Source organism: Homo sapiens, chromosome 12 (genome assembly GCF_000001405.40).
Source record: "Homo sapiens chromosome 12, GRCh38.p14 Primary Assembly".
Lineage (NCBI taxonomy): Eukaryota > Metazoa > Chordata > Mammalia > Primates > Hominidae > Homo > Homo sapiens.
Window position 1 is genome coordinate 51,758,198 of NC_000012.12, and position 21,375 is coordinate 51,779,572.

The 21,375-nt window shown below is 42.7% G+C and overlaps 1 protein-coding gene across 4 annotated transcripts in view; it reads left to right on the forward strand.

The window, feature by feature from the left end:
- SCN8A (sodium voltage-gated channel alpha subunit 8) overlaps window positions 1–21,375 on the forward strand; it is a 221,632-nt gene that overhangs the window by 166,965 nt on the left and 33,292 nt on the right. For all 4 annotated transcript variants that reach the window (NM_014191.4, NM_001177984.3, NM_001330260.2 and 1 more), the window contains exons 15-20: window positions 4,306–4,479; window positions 7,474–7,830; window positions 10,668–11,138; window positions 11,671–11,788; window positions 12,332–12,486; window positions 15,992–16,165. In NM_014191.4, the coding sequence (NP_055006.1) occupies window positions 4,306–4,479; window positions 7,474–7,830; window positions 10,668–11,138; window positions 11,671–11,788; window positions 12,332–12,486; window positions 15,992–16,165 (1,449 nt within the window). The remainder of the gene's footprint in view (window positions 1–4,305; window positions 4,480–7,473; window positions 7,831–10,667; window positions 11,139–11,670; window positions 11,789–12,331; window positions 12,487–15,991; window positions 16,166–21,375) is intronic.

Sequence of the window (21,375 nt, forward strand, 5' to 3'; positions counted from 1 at the left end):
TATAATCCCAGCTACTCAGGATGCTGAGATGGGAGGATCACTTGAGCTCAAGAATTCAAGACTATCCTGGACAACATAGCAACACCCTATCTGTAAAATAAATATCACAATAATACACCTATCACACATGAACATAAATAACATATTGGTGTGGGGAAACTATATTTTTTAAGAAAAACTGGAAGAATGGCATTGTTCGACATTTTGCAAGTCTCTTTAATGTCTGGTTTGTTTGTTTGTTTGTTTGTTTTGTTTTTTGAGGCAGAGTCTCACTCTGTCGCCCAGGCTGGAGTGCAGTGGCACAATCTCGGCTCACTGCAACCTCCGTCTCCCAGGTTCAAGCGATTCTTCTGCCTCAGCCTCCAGAATAGCTGGGATTATAGGTGCCCGCCACCATGCCTGGCTAATTTTTGTATTTTTAGTAGAGATGGAGTTTCACCATGTTGGCCAGGCTGGTCTTGAACTCCTGACCTCAAGTGATCCACCCACCTGGGCATTCCAAAGTGCTGGGATTATAGGCGTGAGCCACCGTGCCTGGCCTCATGTCTGGTTTAATAGAAGGTAGTTAGATTCTCTTTTTCTGTTTCTACATTCAGTCTGTTGTGATATGTTATTTTAGCTAAAGTATAGGAAGAAAAGCTTGCCTCACACAGATATGTACAGTAGTCCTCTCTTATCCAAGGGGGATACATTCCAAGGCCCCCAGTGGATGCCTGAAACCTCAGATAGTACCAAGCCATACACACACACATACACACACATATACACATACATGTATGTATGTATATGTGTGTGTGTGTGTGTATATATATATATACGTGTGTGTATATGTACAGCCACGTACCACATAACAACATTTTGGTCAATGACAGACTGCATGTCTGACAGTGATACCATAAGATTATAATGGAACATATATAAAAACTTGTTATATGCCATTTGATATTGGCCTTGCAGGTCAAGTAAGAGAAATGATTGATGTTAAGTAAAGGTGCTGGGACATTTGGTTTTCCATATTAAAAAATATATATATATAAATGAAAATATATATATAAGGCCTAGGTTTGTGTAAGTACACTCTTTAATGTTTACACAATGACTAAATTGCCAACAACACATTATCCCTATCATTAAGCAATGCATGACCATACTGGGTTTTGTGAATCTGATAACCAAGATGGCTGCTAAGTGGCTAAAGGGCAAGTAGTTTATACAGCATGGATACACTGGACAAAGGGATGATTCACATCCTGGGAGGATAGAGCAGGACAGCTCAAGAGTTCATCATGCTACTCAGAACAGTATGCAATTTAAAACTTATGAATTGTTTTTCTAGAATTTTTTATTTAATATTTTTGGACTGTAGTTGATGGTAGCTAACTGCAACTGCAGAAAGCAAAACCACAGATGGGGGGTACTTCTGAAGTTGGAAAAGAGCGGACCATGTGCTTCCTGAGAGGGCCTTAGGGACTCTAAGGATCCTCAACTACCCTTTGAGAACTGCTGCATAAGAACATAAATTCTAAAGTGAATATTTGATGACATTCAGGAGAACAACACTGTCTAAGTAATGTTACCACAACAGAGTACCATAGACTGGGTAATTTATAACAGACAGAAATTTATTTGGCTGACATTTCTAGAGACTGAAAAGTACAAGGGCATGGTGCCAGTACCTGGTGAAGACCTTTGTGCTACATCATCCCATGGTAGAAGGCCAAAGGGCAGAAGAAGCTAACAGTGAGAGAGCAAGAGAGGGCCAAACTTGCTTTTATCACAAAGCCCACTATTGAGATAACCAGCCCACTCCTGCAATAACATCAGTCCACTCATGATGGCAGAGTCCTCACATGACCTAATCACCTCTTATCAGACCTTGCTGCCCAACAGTGTTGCATTGGGGATTAAGTTTTAATACATGAACTTTGGGGGACACATTCAAACCATAGCAGACACTTATATATAATTGCTGATACACTGCATGTAATTCTTCCCTTTCTCCTCTTTGAGAAGCATATCACAGTGCAAACAAGAGCATCATAGGATAACCTTAAATCTGCTCTTCTCAATTTTTAAAAAAGCAATTCCTTCACACAGCTAATAGTTATAGGTGTATTTTGACACACACCCAACTGATGGCAACATACCATGTGTTGAAGCAACATGGTGGCTGACCTCTGTCACAGACAATTTCTAATGCCTGGGGCCATTCATCCTGGTGATAGGCAACACCACATAACTATGTCATTGTTGATTTCCCTTAGGAACCAGAGTTCCCACAGTATAGATATTCCATGGTCAATCAGCCAGTGCTTCTTCATGAGCACTTCCTGTGTGTTTACCAGGAACCAGTGGGATAACAAATCAAGTCTCTACTTAGTGTGTGTTAGGCAGGCTAGCATTTCTATGTGGAGAAACCTCCGATGGGTTTACACTAAGGGTGAAATGTATGTCAGGATTTGATGAGCTGTCTGTACTTTCCCTGAACTCACTCAGAGGGATGTTCCATCTATAGATGCTTAACTTGTATTATGAACTTTGATTTTACTTAACTGGATCTCTTTGTGGAATTTTTTTTTCAATTTTAGAATATTGCATCTTCAATCTAGAAACATGAGGAACTACAGAAAAGCATATGAACACCGAAAACCTATAGGCCACTTATCCATTTTGATGTATTTTAGTCATCATTCTGTTTTTTTATTGCTGTTTATTAATTCAGTATATTTCCAAACAGCATCTATAATCTAAGTATTTTTTACTATTTTTAATTTTGTTCTCAGACTATATCTTCAGTTTTCCTTAAACTGTTTCATGTGGAAACTTGGTAAACAGGTAGTTACAAGTACTAATATATTATGACAGTTTTAAATCTATTGTAAAAATAAGTCCTCTCCTCTAAAAACATAATATTCAATAAGAGTCTGTTGTTATATGGTTAGCCTAGAATGAAGGTATTGGTTTTGTCAAAACCGGCATTCATGGGATTTGACTTTCATCCTGCATATCACCTCCTAATGCCTGCAGGATATGGAAGTCATCGGGAAGTGCAGGCACTCTGTCAGCAGAAAAATGGGAGATGGGTAACATAGGGAAGATGTCATTTTTACACACAATAAGCTACAAATCTAAAACATTTATTATGTCATTGATTATCCTATTGAAAAAAATTAAAAGGAAGCACCGAAGTCTCCAACAATAGGAAAATTCTTTGAGGATGTATTTACCCAATAGAATTTTATTCACTATTTATTTATTTATTTATTTATTATTATTTATTTATTATTATTTATTTATTTGATAGGGCTTGCTGTGTCGCCTGTGCTGGAGTGCAGTGGCATGATCCACTGCCCTCCAGGTTGGCTCACTGCAACCTCTGCCTCCCGGGCTCAAGTGATTCTCTCACCTCAGCCTCCTGGTCCCTGGTACCATAGGCGCCCACCACCACGCCCAACTAATTTTTGTATTTTTTGTAGAGATGGGTTTTCACCATGTTGTCCAGGCTGGTCTCAAACTCCTGGACTCAAGTGATCTGCCTGCCTCGACCACCAGAAGTTTTGGGATTACAGGAGTGAGCCATCATCCCCAGCCGCCAGTAGAATTTTATACAGGCAGTAAGAGTGAGAGTTGGGAGAACCGTGTAGCAACATGGATAGACTTAATGATAAGTGAAAAATCAGACCCAAGATATTATGTATTCTATGATTTTCCAACTCTGTCAAAATACCTGTGTATTTGAAAAAAAAAACAGAAAGAAAATACATGAAAATGATAGTTGTATGCAAGGTGGTGAGATTATAGATATTATTTCCTATATTTTGCACATTTTGGCAATATTGTATGCTTTTACACCTTGTGGCAAATGTCTGGGTTTGGTAAGATATAATGTCAAATTAGCATTAATACTTTATTTTTCTAATCATAACGCGAGTGATTTTTTTAAGCAAACATCACAAGTATTATATACATTCAAAATGACTGCTGACCCTTTGAAAGGAGTTGCCTGGTGTAGTATTGCCATTGCTTAGCATATTTTCTCAACTGCACTCTTGAAGAGTTTAAATTGAGTGGTTCTGGCAACAAAGATGGGAACTTTGGGGCTGGGGACTTCATTCAAGAGGAGAATAAGATTTTCCTGCATCAGGTGGGGTGCTCATGAGACATCCAGGTATTGATATCTTCAGATGCAGAATTTAACTAAGGTTAACTCTTGAGGTTTCTTGGACATGTTGTTTTCAAAAATAATGATAAAGGCATTCTCTTTCTACTATTTATTTTTCTTACCCCCTGCATCCCCCTATTTAGGTTTTCACTGGAATTTTCACAGCGGAAATGTTCCTGAAGCTCATAGCCATGGATCCCTACTATTATTTCCAAGAAGGTTGGAACATTTTTGACGGATTTATTGTCTCCCTCAGTTTAATGGAACTGAGTCTAGCAGACGTGGAGGGGCTTTCAGTGCTGCGATCTTTCCGATTGGTATTCCATATTTCTCCAATTTCTTTTAACATTTCCTATCTTGCAGCTACTAGAAAGAGTTCTGCATAAATTAATTTGATGATTTAAAAAATATATTAGCTGTATTTTACTCCCAATTCCAGTTATTTGGCTTAGCTACTAAAATACTAAAAACTTTCCTAAAATACCTGATATGGAAGTTAGTTGTTAAAAATCAATAAGCAAACAGAAATCAATTTTAAGAAGCTCTTTAGAAAATGCTGCTTAATCTAAGAGATGTCTAAGATGATAAGTGAAAAATAAGACCCAAGACAATAGATGAAGAAAATGAACTCCCCCAAGGCCCAGTGTGAGGTCTAATTTGGGTTTGCTAGTGAATCTATTTTTTTAAATCTGAACATCTCCTTGAAATGGCAAGAATTTCTCCTTGTTCAAAGATGACTTTCTTCATTTCTTCTGTCATGGTAGCCCTTCCAAAAAATGAGAATAAAATAAGGTTTTTAAATACAGATGGTTCCCAACTTATGATGGCTCAACTTATAATTTTTCCGCTTTACATTCTGCAAAAAAGCAGTGCACGTTCAGTAGAAACCATACTTTGAGTACCCATACAACCGTCCTGTTTTTCACTTTCAGTATAGTATTCAATAAATTACATGAGATATTCAATACTTTATTATAAAATGGGCTTTGTGTTAGATGATTTTGGCCAACTGTAGGCGAATGTAAGTGTTCAGAACATGTTTAAGGTAGGCTAGGCTAAGATGTGATGTTCAGTAGGTTACGTATATTAAATGCATTTTTACTTACAGCAGTTTCAACTTAAAATGGGTTTATTGGGACATAACCCCATCATAAGTCAAGGAGCATCTGTATTATATTGAAATTAGTTGTTGAACATTGGCTTTATTTTCTCTATCATTAGCTAAAAAGGAGTTTGTATTAATGTATTTGAAGAAGTTAGTGTTTAAGTTACTCTTAATGACTTAAAATGACTCTGAAAGAATAGTTAATGGTATCTTCAAAACAGCTGTCCGTAAACATAAGCGTAAGTGATATCTTGATTAACTCCTCGAGAAACTGAGTTATCCTGGGGGTATCCCACTCAGACAAAGGTCACTACTGCTTCCCTGGCATTAGAATTGGCTTGGGTTTTTCACTCCCTATTGGGAAGATAAGCACTTGGCAACTGAAAAGGTTTAAAGTTTCTTCATTGAGATATTCAGCAGTTCTAAGAAAGAACTGGAAAAAGTGAAACTATTTGTAAAACAGAGATTTCACTCAGTCAAAGTCACAAATAACTGCCAAATTTTTGAAACCTCTGTTTACTACTCTTTGGTTAGGATCCAGTCCACAGTGGACTTTTTTGAGAATAGTTATTACCTAGGTGACAAAAGAAAGGATTGAGAGTAGCCTTAGAACTTATATTCTTAATAAATTAAAAAGCCACTCTGTTGAAAACAATATGAGTGGCCCAGATGTCTGCATATAGGGTAACACCTGGTAAATATTGAACTCTCTGATAAGATAACTTTTCAATTAAAAAAAAGTTAAAATTGTGCTGTTGCCTTCTACCAAAATTCCTATTACATTCTATGTTAGTTATTTGTTAGCATATGACATCTAATGATGATCTCATAATTATAATTTTATTGGCCACACTGCCATAGCCTTTATGCGTTATAATTCTCAGGCTGGGCCAGGCACAGTGGCTTACACCTGTAATCCCAGCACTTCAGGAGGCCAAGGCGGGCGCATCACTTGAGGTCAGGAATTTGAGACCAGCTTGGCCAACATAGTGAAACCCCATCTCTACTAAAAATACAAAAATTAGCCGGGCATGGTGGTGCACGCCTGTAATCCCAGCTACCTGGGAGGCTGAGGCAGGAGAATCACTTGAACCCAGGAGGCGGAGGTTGTAGTGAGCCGAGATCACGTTGCTGCACACCAGCCTGGGCGGCAGAGTGAGACTCTGTCTCAAAAATAAATAAATAAATAAATAAAAAATAATTAACACTCTGTTAGCCAAGATCTTGTGATTATTTATTACAGAATATAGATATTTCATGATTGACAGGTACTAAAAGTTCTGTCCTCTGAATAACAGTATAGGCTCTTTTCTTTTTTTTTTTTTTCTTAGACATAGTCTCATTCTGCTGTCCAGGTTGAAGTGCAGTGGTGTGATCTCGGCTCACCTCAACCTCCACCTCCCAGATTCAAGTGATTGTCATGCCTCAGCCTCCCAAGTAGCTGGGATTACAGGCCTGCACCACCACACTTGGCTAATTTTTGTATTTTTTATTAGAGACGGCATTTCACCATGTTGGCCAGGCTGGTCTCGAACTCCTGGCCTCAAGTCATCTGCCTACCTCAGCCTCCCAAATGCTAGGATTACAGGCATGAGCCACTGCACCTGGCCAGTATAGGCTCTTTTCATAAGATGACTGATGTATGTGGAACTGCCCCTGTTTGAGAGTTGTGCTTTTCCTCCAAGTTATTCCAAGCATATCACAACGGTTTTTTTTTTAATCAGCCATTGATTATTTATTGGCAAGCAAAATAGGTATTTAGAATTTTTTAATGTTTGCTTTTTTAAGGAGATGGATTTTTTTTTAAACTGTCCTTCCCATACTAGTCTTTTGGTTTCCTACAAATCACATTTTATTTCACTTGTCCTGTGAGAAGTCAAGGGAAAATTAGTAGGAAAGGGATATGTTCATATGTGGGTTTTCAAAAAGCAGACTGACTCAGATCTAAAGTAAGGGACTAAGGCAGTATTCCTGGCTTCTAGTTACAATTTTTTCAGCTACTCTGAAATTAATCAGTTTTCCCTTATTTATGTCTCAGTTTCTCCCCATTTAGTCTGAGACACTGTTAGACAGTCCTGGGAATTTTCCAAGGGTGCTCAATATATTTAATCTGATCTTCCTAATTTTATGTTTTTATTTTAGCCATGTGGTGAGAAAATTGATTGAGTATCATTTATTTTTTTGTTTGGGTTTTTTTTTTCCTTAGCTCCGAGTCTTCAAATTGGCCAAATCCTGGCCCACCCTGAACATGCTAATCAAGATTATTGGAAATTCAGTGGGTGCCCTGGGCAACCTGACACTGGTGCTGGCCATTATTGTCTTCATCTTTGCCGTGGTGGGGATGCAACTCTTTGGAAAAAGCTACAAAGAGTGTGTCTGCAAGATCAACCAGGACTGTGAACTCCCTCGCTGGCATATGCATGACTTTTTCCATTCCTTCCTCATTGTCTTTCGAGTGTTGTGCGGGGAGTGGATTGAGACCATGTGGGACTGCATGGAAGTGGCAGGCCAGGCCATGTGCCTCATTGTCTTTATGATGGTCATGGTGATTGGCAACTTGGTGGTTAGTACTAATTTGTAGATATTTTTGTTCTACACCCTGAATATTCTACCCCTGGCCCAGAAGCCCAAGTCCTTCTACTGCTTAGTCCTTCTACTACCCGTCATGTTTGTTGATTTTTATTCTTTCTTGGCCCAGAAACCCTAAGGTACAAATGAAGGAGAGGAGAGAGATACTTACAGAGTGCCTACTTAGTCATGACCCCCACAACTTGTCAACCCTTTTCCTAGAGTTAGGAAAGCAAACTCAGCAAAATTAAGTGACTTTCCCAAATAAATATAGGGCTTGTATTTGAACCTAGACTTTAAAGTCTGTGCCCGTTCGCCTACAGAAGCCTTCCTTTTTCTTAACGACAATTTCTCATCTGTGGTGCTATTGACATCTTGGGCTGGATAATTCTTTGTTGTGGGCTGTCGTGTGCATTGTAGGGTTTAGCAGCGTCCCTCCTGGCCTCTACCCACTAGATGCCAGTAGCATCCTGAGAGCTGTGACAACCAAAAATGTCTGCAGACATTGCCAGATGTCCCTGGGGGGCAAAATTGCCCTCCATTGAGAGCCACTGCTCTAAACCATCTTAGAGTTTTATTTAATTTATATAAATGACAAATCACTTTATTGCTTTACTTTGATCTGTCCACCTGCTCTCTTCTACCTCTGTCTTTAGAAGAGTCACCAACAGATCTTAACACCTTGCTTCTTAAAGTGTGATCTGAGGACTAGCAGCAACAAGATCACTGGAGAGTGTGTTAGAAATGCAGAATTCTAGGCCCCAAATCAGAACTACTGAATCAGAATCTGCATTTTTAACAAGATCCTTGTGTGACTCAAAAGTACACTAAAGTTTGAGAAAGGACTATCTTACAGATCAGGCCCCTAATCCCACCTGCAAGTGTAGGGCAAAGAGGACTGGAAGAAGACAAGCTTATCTGTCCCTTAACATGCTCATCCACATTAGTTCTCTTCCTTTTTCTGCCACAGAGAAGCATGACAGTAAAAGGCTCCTACTCACCAGCCTCTGAACCAGCTACAACTATTCTGTTCTTCCATTTGACCTACAAAAAAAATAGCTACTGTAATGTTTAATTCTTCCTATTCTCCATTCCCAGCCACCTTTCCCTCAGTCCTAATCCCTCTAGTCTTCTCACTACTTCAGTGACTATAACAATGGCTTCCCGGTATGTAGCATGATCAACATTTTCAAGCCCTGACTTTGCCACCCTTTCTTCACTCTCCTGTTCTTATTTGTCTCAAAGACATCTCCCCATGGCTGTCTCCAGATACCTGAGCACTTGATAAATATCAGCTGTTACCACTACCCCCTGATGACACTTTTCAGGTTCCCCTTTGCTCAGTAGTCCTTCTGCCCATCTAGTTTCTAGGAACCTATAACTTTGGAGTATTTTCTGTCTCTTTTCTCTCCACTCCCAGCAAATATCTGATGTGTCTTAAATGCATCTTTCTTCATAGTATTTCTGTGGATATCTTTCTTCATAGTATCTAAGATCTGCCCCTTCCTTTGCATTTCTATAATTCATTCAGTACTTTATAAAAATGTGGTCTCAAGACCACCTGCATCATAATTACACAAGTTTCACTCACAAAAAAAGGCCAAGTCCCAGGCTGTATACCAAATCTACTGAATCCAAATATCTTTAGAGTAGGCTAAGGAAATATTTTTAACAAACATCCACACCCCTCACTCCCTGAGATTCTAATGCATGCTAAGATTTGGGATTTCTGTAGCCTAATCCAGACCCTTATCAATTCATGCATGTAACAGCCTCCTAACTTCTGCCCTTCCCCTCTGTATGTAGTTAGTCTGAATGACTCTTTCAAATCTCTGTCATCATCTGTGACTCCTTTACTCAAGAACCAGTAGTGGATCTAATTAAATAAAATTCAGATCCCTCAGCCTGGCCTTCAAAGCCCTCTCCAACTCACCCGCATTTTACCAACCATATTCCTTTTTAACTCTACAAATGGTGCAGATAATCCGAACACTTATAGTTCATTTATTGTTTCCACCCTCCCACTCTGCACATGACTGTTATCTCCTCCTAAAATGTATGCCTTACTCTTCTTCCCAAGTATGACAAAGTAAGGACCAAGTGTAAATCAAGAAGTGAGCACCTCTCCCACTCCTAAAAAGTAAGTCTTAATAAAAATAAATTAATTAACCTTAATGTTCAATGTAGTAAAATAGGAGATTAAAACAAAAATAAATAAAGCTTGTATCTGATGGCTTGACATTTGGCTATGCAAAAAAATATAAAAGTCACCATCACTGTCTTGCTAAAGCGATTTTATTTTTATAAATGTTAGGAAAACAAAATTTGTTCTTAAAATATGATGACATGAAGTGTATTTCAGTTCTACCTTCTTGGTTTTTTGTATGAAAGGATGGCACTTCAAGCCTCATTTTTTTTTCTGACGTGGGTCCTCTCAAACTCTGCTCATGAATATGTGGCATCTGTACACTTTGTGACCCTCCCCAGTAATGTATATTCACCTTTTTATTTTGGGGAAATGTCCTTCCAAAATGGATACAGCCTTTGTTTTTTCTGATTATAAGAGAAGTAATATATTTTCGGGTACATATATATGTATGTAAAACTATAAAAGACCCAAGAAAAGAGGTGCTAAACTCCTTGTATTACAACCAAAACCAAACACATTCCCACCTGGTAACATGAGCATTAAAATACTACGTGGGCCAAACACAACACAACAGAGCCTCTTTGAGTCTGTCACGTGAAGTCCATTGGCTTCCAGTTTGCAACCCTGAGTTCGATGGATAACTTTTCTGCATTTGTTCCTTTTTTCCAATGCTACTGGCATAGGTGCTGAACCTGTTTCTGGCCTTGCTCCTGAGCTCCTTCAGTGCAGACAACCTGGCTGCCACAGATGACGATGGGGAAATGAACAACCTCCAGATCTCAGTGATCCGTATCAAGAAGGGTGTGGCCTGGACCAAACTAAAGGTGCACGCCTTCATGCAGGCCCACTTTAAGCAGCGTGAGGCTGATGAGGTGAAGCCTCTGGATGAGTTGTATGAAAAGAAGGCCAACTGTATCGCCAATCACACCGGTGCAGACATCCACCGGAATGGTGACTTCCAGAAGAATGGCAATGGCACAACCAGCGGCATTGGCAGCAGCGTGGAGAAGTACATCATTGATGAGGACCACATGTCCTTCATCAACAACCCCAACTTGACTGTACGGGTACCCATTGCTGTGGGCGAGTCTGACTTTGAGAACCTCAACACAGAGGATGTTAGCAGCGAGTCGGATCCTGAAGGCAGCAAAGATGTAAGGTCCCAGCCTAGAAACAGCCTTGATCCTGTGTGAGAGCAAACAGGGTGCTGTCAGCCTTGGGGATTGGTTCAGCTATGGGCTTGGTAGAGAGATTCTGGAATAACCAATTTACTTGGAGAACTAATTCCACCATCCCAGTATCATTCTAGGCCTTTCCTAAATGAGGTGGAATCCTAAGATGATCCTGGACCCACCTGTGTCACTTCTGGATCATCTGGGTCAGAGGCTGGGATAAGCCCTCGAGTACTTCCCTGCCATTCATCTGAGTTATAGCCCTGAAACCAACCTATAGCCGCATTTAGCTTTGGGTGGGTCATTGCCGTCCGTGAGTAGGTTTTGATGTTATATCCCATCTGGACAGAAGTTTTGGGGGCCCGTGGATATGGTTTGCTTATCGCGAGTTGTAGTAAGAATTCTAGAGAGGAGTCAGAGCTGGCCCCTCATCCCCACCAGAGGCAGAGTTCTCAGTGTGGAGTGGGCATGTTGCCTCAGAGCTGCCTGATCTCCCTTTTCCTTGCGTGTCTAGAAACTAGATGACACCAGCTCCTCTGAAGGAAGCACCATTGATATCAAACCAGAAGTAGAAGAGGTCCCTGTGGAACAGCCTGAGGAATACTTGGATCCAGATGCCTGCTTCACAGAAGGTGAAAGGGGATGAGGAGCGGATGGGCTGGGGACACTCGTGTTGCTCACAGACACAGTTGTGCCAGGGCTAGTGGTGGGTGAGGGGCAGCTCAGTGGCTATCTTCAAGAACTTTGCTCCCCACCCCACCATTTTGAAGGAAACTTAGATTGTTTCCCCTATTTGTATCTGACAAGTATATAACAAGTTTCTATTCTCACACTTTTCATCATCCATTTTCTCTTGGCATCAGCCCAAAAATTTCCATTAGAATGTCCTGTTCTGTCATGGCTGTGCCTGCCTCCTGACTACCCTTTTCTCCTCCCTCTCACTGCTTCTTTGTAGGACATCTTCTTGACTCCTGAGGGCCTTGCCCCATTAGCCTTTGCAGCATAGCCCCAGCCCTGCCACCCTCTCCATTTCTGAATCAGACATTCTGATTCAGCCACTGTCCTCCTGGCTGTGTGGTGGGGCAGCACCTGGCAGGGCCTGGGAGATGGAGGAGAGGGCAGGTCTGGGCGGGGCACGTTTCCACGGTCTGACCCGCCTCTCCCGCTGGTGCCAGGTTGTGTCCAGCGGTTCAAGTGCTGCCAGGTCAACATCGAGGAAGGGCTAGGCAAGTCTTGGTGGATCCTGCGGAAAACCTGCTTCCTCATCGTGGAGCACAACTGGTTTGAGACCTTCATCATCTTCATGATTCTGCTGAGCAGTGGCGCCCTGGTGAGGTCCAGGGGAGAGTGTGAGGAGGGATTGGCTGGGGAAGGGTGTAGAGAAGCCAGTGGGAAAAGGCTGAGGCCAAAGCCCAGTGGCTCTGAAAACAGATTGGCTGTGGTCCCAAGAAGAATGATCTGTTAAAGTGCTTTAGGCTGCTGCTTTGAGCCTGTGGGATTAGAATCCATACTTGTTCACATTGTGATCCTCTTAGCACTGTCCCTCTCATGTGTCCCCACTGCCTGGTTTACCCCATCCTTAGCAGCCCCTAAAATGAACTTCCCTCTCTTACCTAATACCCCAGATCTCTTGTTCTTTGCTTTTCAGTTACCCAGGATGGGAGGGAGGTGTTATTCCTCCACTTACTGTCCCTTCACAGCCTACTGGATTTAGAGAACCCATGGCATTAGCAAATGTTTAGAGTCAGATCTCTGGTACAAAGGTTATTTATATTCACATTGTCCTAAGTGCTTATTAATCAGTGAAACATACAAGGCCCTGAACACACAGGCTCCTCCACTGCTGAGACTAATTATCTTGGCATTTGCTTTTATTTTTAGCTGGGTTATAACTGAGGAGACCTGGACAGGGTGTGGTGTGAGGGAGTTGCTTGCTGGTTGAATAGTTTTGAGGACTGCCGGGACTAGAGACAGTACACACTTTCCTTAAGGGAAAGGTGAAGAATGCATAATGTTGAAGTATATTTAAAGAAGGTGGGCACATTCATGTAGGTGTGGAATCAAAGCTTAATCTGGAAGCAAAAAAAAAAACATAGCAAGGGAGAAACCCCAAATTCAGTGTTAAAGATTTTGACAGTGACTTGGGAAGTTTCACTGACTTGTGAGGCAGGAGAATAAGAAAAGCTGAGAGAGGCAGCAGTGTGTATTAAAGACAAGCCCAAGGGTGAAGAAGACAGCTTTCATGAAAAGAGGACCATGGGAAGTAAGGGGAAGGTTTACACAGGAAGGTGTCAGGATTAAAGTAGGAGGCAAAAAAGATGGCTTGGTAGCCACTGATCTGAGTGAAGGGGAGCCAGACCACCCCGCCTGCCCCTGGGCCACTTGTTGCATCAACGAGCATTCACACAACACTTCCTGAGGTGCCGCAGAGGCACCCAAAATGACAGCATGGTCTCTGCCCTTAAGAAAAGAGAGGATCAGACTAAGCCGAGTGATTGGAGAAAGGCGTTTTATTATTGCTGTCATTGTTATTCTTCAAATCTAGTGAACAAAAATCTAAACAGTATGACCCATCATTTGGCTCTTCTCTTTCCCATCTCTACAAAAAAGAATAAAGCAGTAGTGAACTAAAGGTTTTGAACTTTCTTTACTGCTCACCTTTGACAGTTTTTATTTGTCTTAATGATTAAGCAAAGGATATTTGGTTCAGTACCTGCAGACCCTGTGCAACAGTAGGCATGAGATTTAAGAATAACAAAGTGGCCCGGTCCAGTGGCTCACGCCTTAATCCCAGCACTGTGGGAGGCCAAGACGTGCGGATCACCTGAGGTTGGGAGTTCGAGACCAGCCTGACCGATATGGAGAAACCACGTCTCTAGTAAAAATACAAAATTAGCCGGGCATGGTGGTGCATGCCTGTAATCCCAGCTACTCAGGAGGCTGAGGCAGGAGAATTGCTTGAACCTGGGAGGCGGAGGTTGCAGTGTGCCGAGATTGCACCATTGCACTCCAGCCTGGGCAACAAGAGCGAAACTCCATCTCAAAAAAAAAAAAAAATAACAAAATGAAGCCACAGCTAAAATGTCCAAGAAGAAACTAGAACGTGGTTACAATGGGACTAAAGAGGGTGGGGATTAGGGCCCTCAGTGACATGAGATCAGTCTTGGGCATCTCACATACCTTGGATTATAGAAGGGATTTCCAACAGATGGGGTTAAGGGGAAACCTGACATGGAAGCTGTTGCCTTTTTGATTGAGCAAAGGGGATTTATTTGCACCGAGACCCTGAGTAGGACTGTGGAACCCATGACCCCTGTCCCCCCCACTGCCTGTTGATGAAAGTGGAGCCGGGCACGGTAGCTCACACCTGTAATCCCAGCACTTTGGGAGGCTGAGGCGGGCGAATCACGAAGTCAGGAGATTGAGACCATCCTGGCTAACACGGTGAAACCCCATCTCTACTAAAAATACAAAAAAAATTAACCGGGCATGGTGTCTCACACCTGTAATCCCAGCACTTTGGGAGGCTGAGGCGGGCGAATCACGAGGTCAGGAGATTGAGACCATCCCAGCTAACACAGTGAAACCCCATCTCTACTGAAAATACAAAAAAATTAGCCGGGTGTGGTGGCATGTGCCTGTAGTCCCAGCTACTCGGAAGGCTGAGGCAGGAGAATGGCATGAACCCGGGAGGTGGAGGTTGCAGTGAGCTGAGATCGCACCACTGCACTCCATCCTGGGCAACTGAGCGAGACTCCGTCTCCAAAAAAAAAAAAAGAGAGAAAGTGGAGCACCTGATATCCATGTGCCTCCATTTTGGAAGGTGACGCTGCAGACAACCCAATTCTATTCTTCTGGAGCTGTTCAGAGCAAGCACTTCCCATTGTATCACAGAGGACTTCCTCCCCACCTCCACAGGTTGTCCTATGCTTTAGCAATTCCCTCCTCTTGGCACCATACCTGTATAGTCCACCACTCTGCAGATGGGAATGCTCACACCACCATATAAGGGATTATCCCATTCATGAATGCCAAAGAAATAAAATAGTGATAAGATTTTCTTCACCTGAGTATCTCCCACCTGTATGACCCTCCACCCATACTGTGGTGTCAAGGAACTAAAAGGAGGAAAGATTTTGTCATTTCTTTTATATATAGTATTGGTGAGGATGTGGAGAAATTGGAACACTCATATGCTTCTGGTAGGAATGTGAAATGATGCAACCACTTTGGAAAACAGTTTGGCAGTTCCTCAAAAAATTAAACAGTTACCATATGACTCAGCAATTCCATTCCTGGGCATATGCCCTAGAGAATGAAAGCATGTCTACCTAAAAACCCATACACAGATGTTCACAGCAGCATTGTTCACAATAGAAACAATACACATGTCCATCAACTGATGAAGGATAAACAGAATGTGGTATATCCATATATTGGACTATTACTCAGCCGTAAGAAGGAAAATCTAGAGAGAGAAAGTAGGTGAGTGGCTGCCTAGGGCTAGGGGGTTGGGGGTTTAGGGGGTGATAGCTAAAGGGTGTGGGGGTTCTTTTGGAGGTAATGAAAATGTTCTAAAATTGATTGTGGTGATGGATGCACAACTCTGAATATACTAAAAGCCATTTTAAATGGCTGAATTTTATGATGTGTGGATTGTATCTCAATAAACCTATTAAAACATAAAAAGCCTGTGTAGTCGGGGAGTAAAGCGAAGGAGACAGGGAGCTGATGACAGGCCAGCCCATGTGGGACGGCTCCCTGAGGATAGCAGTGCTCCCTGTGGCCTGCTTGCCTTTAGGCACTGTCATAGGCAGCTGCTGCCTCTCTTTTAGGCCTTCGAGGACATCTACATTGAGCAGAGAAAGACCATCCGCACCATCCTGGAATATGCTGACAAAGTCTTCACCTATATCTTCATCCTGGAGATGTTGCTCAAGTGGACAGCCTATGGCTTCGTCAAGTTCTTCACCAATGCCTGGTGTTGGCTGGACTTCCTCATTGTGGCTGTAGGTGTCTTGCTTTCTGTTTCCCACCCCTTCCAGCAGGAACACAGAAACAGGGGTCTCTCTTTTTCTAATGGCAGTAGCTGCCCTGGGCCCAGGTTATAGATCAAGATGTAGATGTAGGTGTGGGTAAAGTTCCTTTCATAGCACTGAGATCTTCATATTAGGAAGGGGAACTCTGAAGTCCCTGCATTTGCTCCAGGGGGACTAACCAACCAACTCTTTAGTCTGGTGGGTTTGGCTTAACTTAGATTCAGAGATTAGGAGAAGTGGAATCACTGGTCTCAAAGGCCCTTGTTATTAGGCTGGGGACAGGAAAGTTCTTGCCCCAGGCCAGCAGGATGTCTTCTTTTTGTGGCTGGGAGAAGGGGTGAGAGAATGAGATGGGGGCTGTTGGGACGAAGGTGGTAGTGGGATCTGTGGTCTCTCCTGCTGACCATTCCCATGAACACTTCCATCCAACTCAAGTCTTGATACCGGACTCATCCAAACAAGTCAGTTTATTAGGTGAGGGGAGTTCATACTGAAATAAAATACCCCCTTCTTCCCACACGTTGCCATTCTACAGTGATCATGAAACTTGAGAAATCCTTTTTTCCTCCAGGTTCCAAGACTATCTCCGAGGTTTGCTGGCCATGACCTCCTGTGTTTTTTCCAGGTTGGAAGTGACATCCTCTCTTTCTCACCCCACCATCACTTGTCCCTTGTCAGCTTTACTAAGGATGATGACTGGTCTCTTATTCTATGTAATAACTAAAGCTTCTTTCTTTCAGCCAAGTCAGCATTTTAAAGAAAGGATGAATGGGATTTGTAGGACCAGGGCCTGTGGAAAATTTACTTCCTTCTGAGGGCTGTTAAGTGCCAAGAAAGTAGAACGGTGGAGACTAGACTGGTCATGTAGAATGCAGGTTTCATTGGCTGCATGGTGAACTACCTGTAGAGTACCTCTGGGATCCAGGATAGAGCAGCATAGAAATCTCTCTGATGGCAAGTGCCCAATACTGAGCCATGATTTCTGCTCTATAAATGGATTTCTTTTCCAATACATTGTCTGCAATTTCCATGGTTAATGACCCCCTTCCCAGAACTGTCACTGTGCCCTCAGTTGCATCCCCATTTCAAAAAGCCAGCCTTTGGGAAATGCCTAAATGAGGTGAGGACCCCAGCCCTAGAGGGTACCAACGTGAGACCCTCGCAGCGAGAGATGTTAGCATCCCTCCAGCAACTGTTGATACCATCCTGTGGTGGAAGGACCTGTACCCCCCACAGACAGAAAGCTGGAGCTCTAAGACTTAAAGAATGGGATTGAGATAAGACCCAGAGAGCCAAAGTGAGACTGGGCCAGTTCTCTTTCTGGAGAAAGGGCAAGTGCCATAGAGTCTTCATTTCACAATAGCTCCTCAGGACTACCTGGCGTCAGGTGGGACACCTGAACTCAAACTGGTACTCCCAGCTGCCTGGGGAGGCTGTGATTTGAAACAGAGCTTCCCCACCATGACCTACCCTCACCAGAACACGTTCTTCTCTTTTCCCTAGGGTGAGCTACCCAGAATTTGAGGATATTGATCAGGTATCCCACATGCCCCTGCTAAACAAATAAGCTGCTAAAGCACTAACAGTCCTACACATTAGCATTTATTTATTTTTTGAGATGAGGTCTTACTCTGTCACCCAGCCTCAAGTGCAGTGGCGCCATCTCTGCTCACTGCAGCCTCTGCCTCCTGGGCTCACACGATCCTTGCACCTCAGCCTCCCGAGTAGCTGGGGCTGCAGGCACACACCACCATGCCTGGCTAATTTTTGTATCTTGGGTAGAGATGGAGTTTCACCATGTTGCCCAGGCTGGTCTGGAACTCCTTGGCCTCCCAAAGTGTTGGGTTTATAGACATGAGCCACTGTGCCAAGCCAGCATTTATTTCACAAACTTTTTTTATGGCTATACGCAAGGTGGAAGGGGGTAAAGAGCATAGGACAGGCATGCAGCCAACTGACACTAATTCATAAGCTCCTCTAGCTTTTGGGGGTTGCTTGATCATTACATTACTGTGGTGCCCAACTGGCTCCTGTGAAGACCTCTGTGCCAGTTATTAGTAAATAATATAGTTGAATGCCATTATCTGTGTAGAATTGCTCCAGAAGCAATAAGGAGAAACAGAGGTTATCCTTGTTGCAAGCATGTTCCCAGCCCCTGGGGAGCTTACACTAGCTTCCATAGCAACTATGTCCTGACTCCAGGCTTGTGCTAGGTGGGGGGACATTCCCAGGCCATCACAGTGGCTCCAATCGCTGCCGCTTTTGAATTGTGGATGAACAATTAGTCTTGGACTGTCACCTGAACAGTTGGAACTGCTGGACTTTTTGGTGTCCATTTGAGTAAAGTGTCTGATTTCTTTGGCATTTTAGAACATCCAGAAGGTTAGGTCCTAACTTAGCACCATCCACTGGTGACTTGATGTCTGAGTCTGTTACTCATCGCATTTGTTTCCCTAATTGATTTTCATTCTTCCTTGTTGCCTCTTAAAGCTGTGAGTACTTTTCAGAGTCATGGGATTATCCAGATGACTTCCAAGGTTAATTCCTTTTATTTATAATCCATATGAGTTCCCAAACAAGGAAAACATTCTGTTTTGCTCAGGTCCTTGGCTGCATTGGAGATTGTGTCCTGTAAAAGAATTTTGGCATCTTTTCCCCAGGACATTTATCCCACTGTATGTGGAGATCAGCAAGCCTGTCAGTTCTGGAGGTGGGGACTTGCAGAGACTACTTGCCTTGGCCTGAATTCAGACTGCTGAAAACATTCCCCGTTTGAAAATATTCACATCATTTTGGAAAAATCACCTAATGTCTTTCCCCCTTTTTTTCCAGCCTGCAACCATAGATGCCCTGAATTTATTTTTTTTTTCATTTTTAAAATTTTTTTAGGTAGGTCTCACCCTGCTGCCCAGGCTGGAGTGCAGTGGCACAATCATGGCTCACTGCAGCCTCCAAGTCCTGGGCTCAAGCAGCCTTCTCACCTCAGCCTCCTGAGTAGCTGGGACTACAGACACGTGCCAAGGCGCCCAGCTTGATGCCCTGAATTTGATGTCTCCTCAATTCCTTTTTTTTGTTGTTTGTTTGTTTGTTTTAGGTTTGATTCTTTCCTTAAAGAATACTTTAAGCAATGTTAGGATTATCTCCAGGAGGGGCTTAACAGAGACTCAGAGGATTATAAGAGAGCCCTCAACTACTAAAGAATAACCCAGATAAGACCCTTATTGATCCTGTCCTGGGCCAGATTAATCAGCTGAGTAACAGCTTATCTCCCAGCAACGTTTAGAGCCAGCCACTGAATTGGCCTTTAGACCTCCTCCTTCATTCTCCACACTGTGGGCCTATTTGTTATCAGATAAGTCACCCACCCTGAAGAGCTGGGATCTTCTTACCTTATATGGTGCCTATAGCCACTCAAAGCTTAGTTTCTTGCAATCTTTACCTGACAAAGTTTCGTAAGATGAAGCTGACCCAGGGGACTGTTGAGTCCAGGTACTTGGTTGAGAAAGAATAGCTTCCCTTCAGATATACTTATTAAGGCCTCATGAAGAATCTGGCAACTTTCAATTCTTTTGGAGTTAAGAGTTGGCTGCACTTGGCAATAATAGGGAAGTAGATACCTCCATATAAATTCTTATTGATAATGATGGATAGATGGAGAGAAAGGGATTAGTTGGTGCTACTATGTTCTAGATAGGGCTTTTGTGGACCATAGTTTAGGCAGACATTGAACTCTGGACCATCTGCCTTTTCATGAAAATTAGGGTAGCCTAATAGGGCAACATTTACTTCCGGATTTGCTTTGGACATTGCCCAGGGCTTCAGAGAAGATAACTACACTGGTGGATTATGAGCACATGCATAGATCAAGGTCCATATCCCTTTTTATTTTATTTATTTATTTATTTATTTGAGATGGAGTTTCTCTCTTTTTGTCCACGTTGGAGTGCAATGGCACCATCTCCGCTCACTGCAACCTCTGCCTCCTGGGTTCAAGCAATTCTCCTGCCTCAGCCTTCCAAGCAGCTGGGATTACAGGCATGCACCACCACGCCCAGCTAATTTATTTTTGTATTTTTAGTAGAGACGGGGTTTCACCATGTTGGCCAGGCTGGTCTCGAACTTCTGACCTCAGGTGATCCACCCACCTCGGCCACAACACCTGGCCATACCTGTTTTTAAATCGAAACCTTTAAACCTGCTCATCCTGACCCTTGCTAGGTCATACACCTTCCGCTTCTACCCCCTGCCAGTCATGCTGCTTAATTATAAATGTCTTCATTTTTTTAAAAATTGTGTGTGTGCAATTCACAGACACAGGATCAAAGAATTAAAGCCCTAGGATAGAGATAAAAAGCAGCAAATGAAACTAATTTGTAGATTGTTTCTTTTTTTTTCCTCTCTAAATTTTCTTTAAAATATCATCAATTTAAGTAAGCTAAGCTGATATGCAACCACCACTTCCCAGTAGGAAGAATTTAAGAGCTGTTGATGGAAATATCTTAACCTATCCTAGAATTTGTGTTGTAAGAAACCCAGAACCCAGCCAGGCATGGTGGCTCAAGCCTGTAATCCCAGCACTTTGGGAGGCCAAGGCAGGCGAATCACCTGAGGTCAGGAGTTTGAGACCAGCCTGGACAACACAGTGAAACCCCATCTCTACTAAAAATACAAAATTAGCCGGGCATGGTGGCACATGCCTGTAATCCAAGCTACTCACCCAGGAGGCTAAGGCAGGGAGAATTGCTTGAACCCAGGAGGTGGAAGTTGCAGTGAGCCAAGATTGTGCCATTGCACTCCAGCCTGAGCGACAGAGTGAGACTTTGTCTCAAAAAAAAAAAAAAAAAATAGAAACCCAGACCCCAAACATTCTGGAGTTTGACTAACTAAAGGTATTTTTAGGTCTGCTCTCCCCTGAAAAATTCTGTAACTCTCAGCTCAGGCCCAGGAAGGCATAAATGTAGTTAGCATGGTGTTGAGAAAGCATCGTGGTAACTGCTCTGAGAGCTCTGGTAGAACAAGGTAAGTTTGCCTCTGGCAGAGCAGGAAAGTGTTTGACCATACGTCTAAGCCTGGAGGTCTGCAGGCTTCTTCCCCCTGGTACGGCAACATATTCAACTCTGGATTGTCCAGATAGTCCTGTTGGAATGTTGTTGTGTAACCTGCCCACTGGGGACGTGACC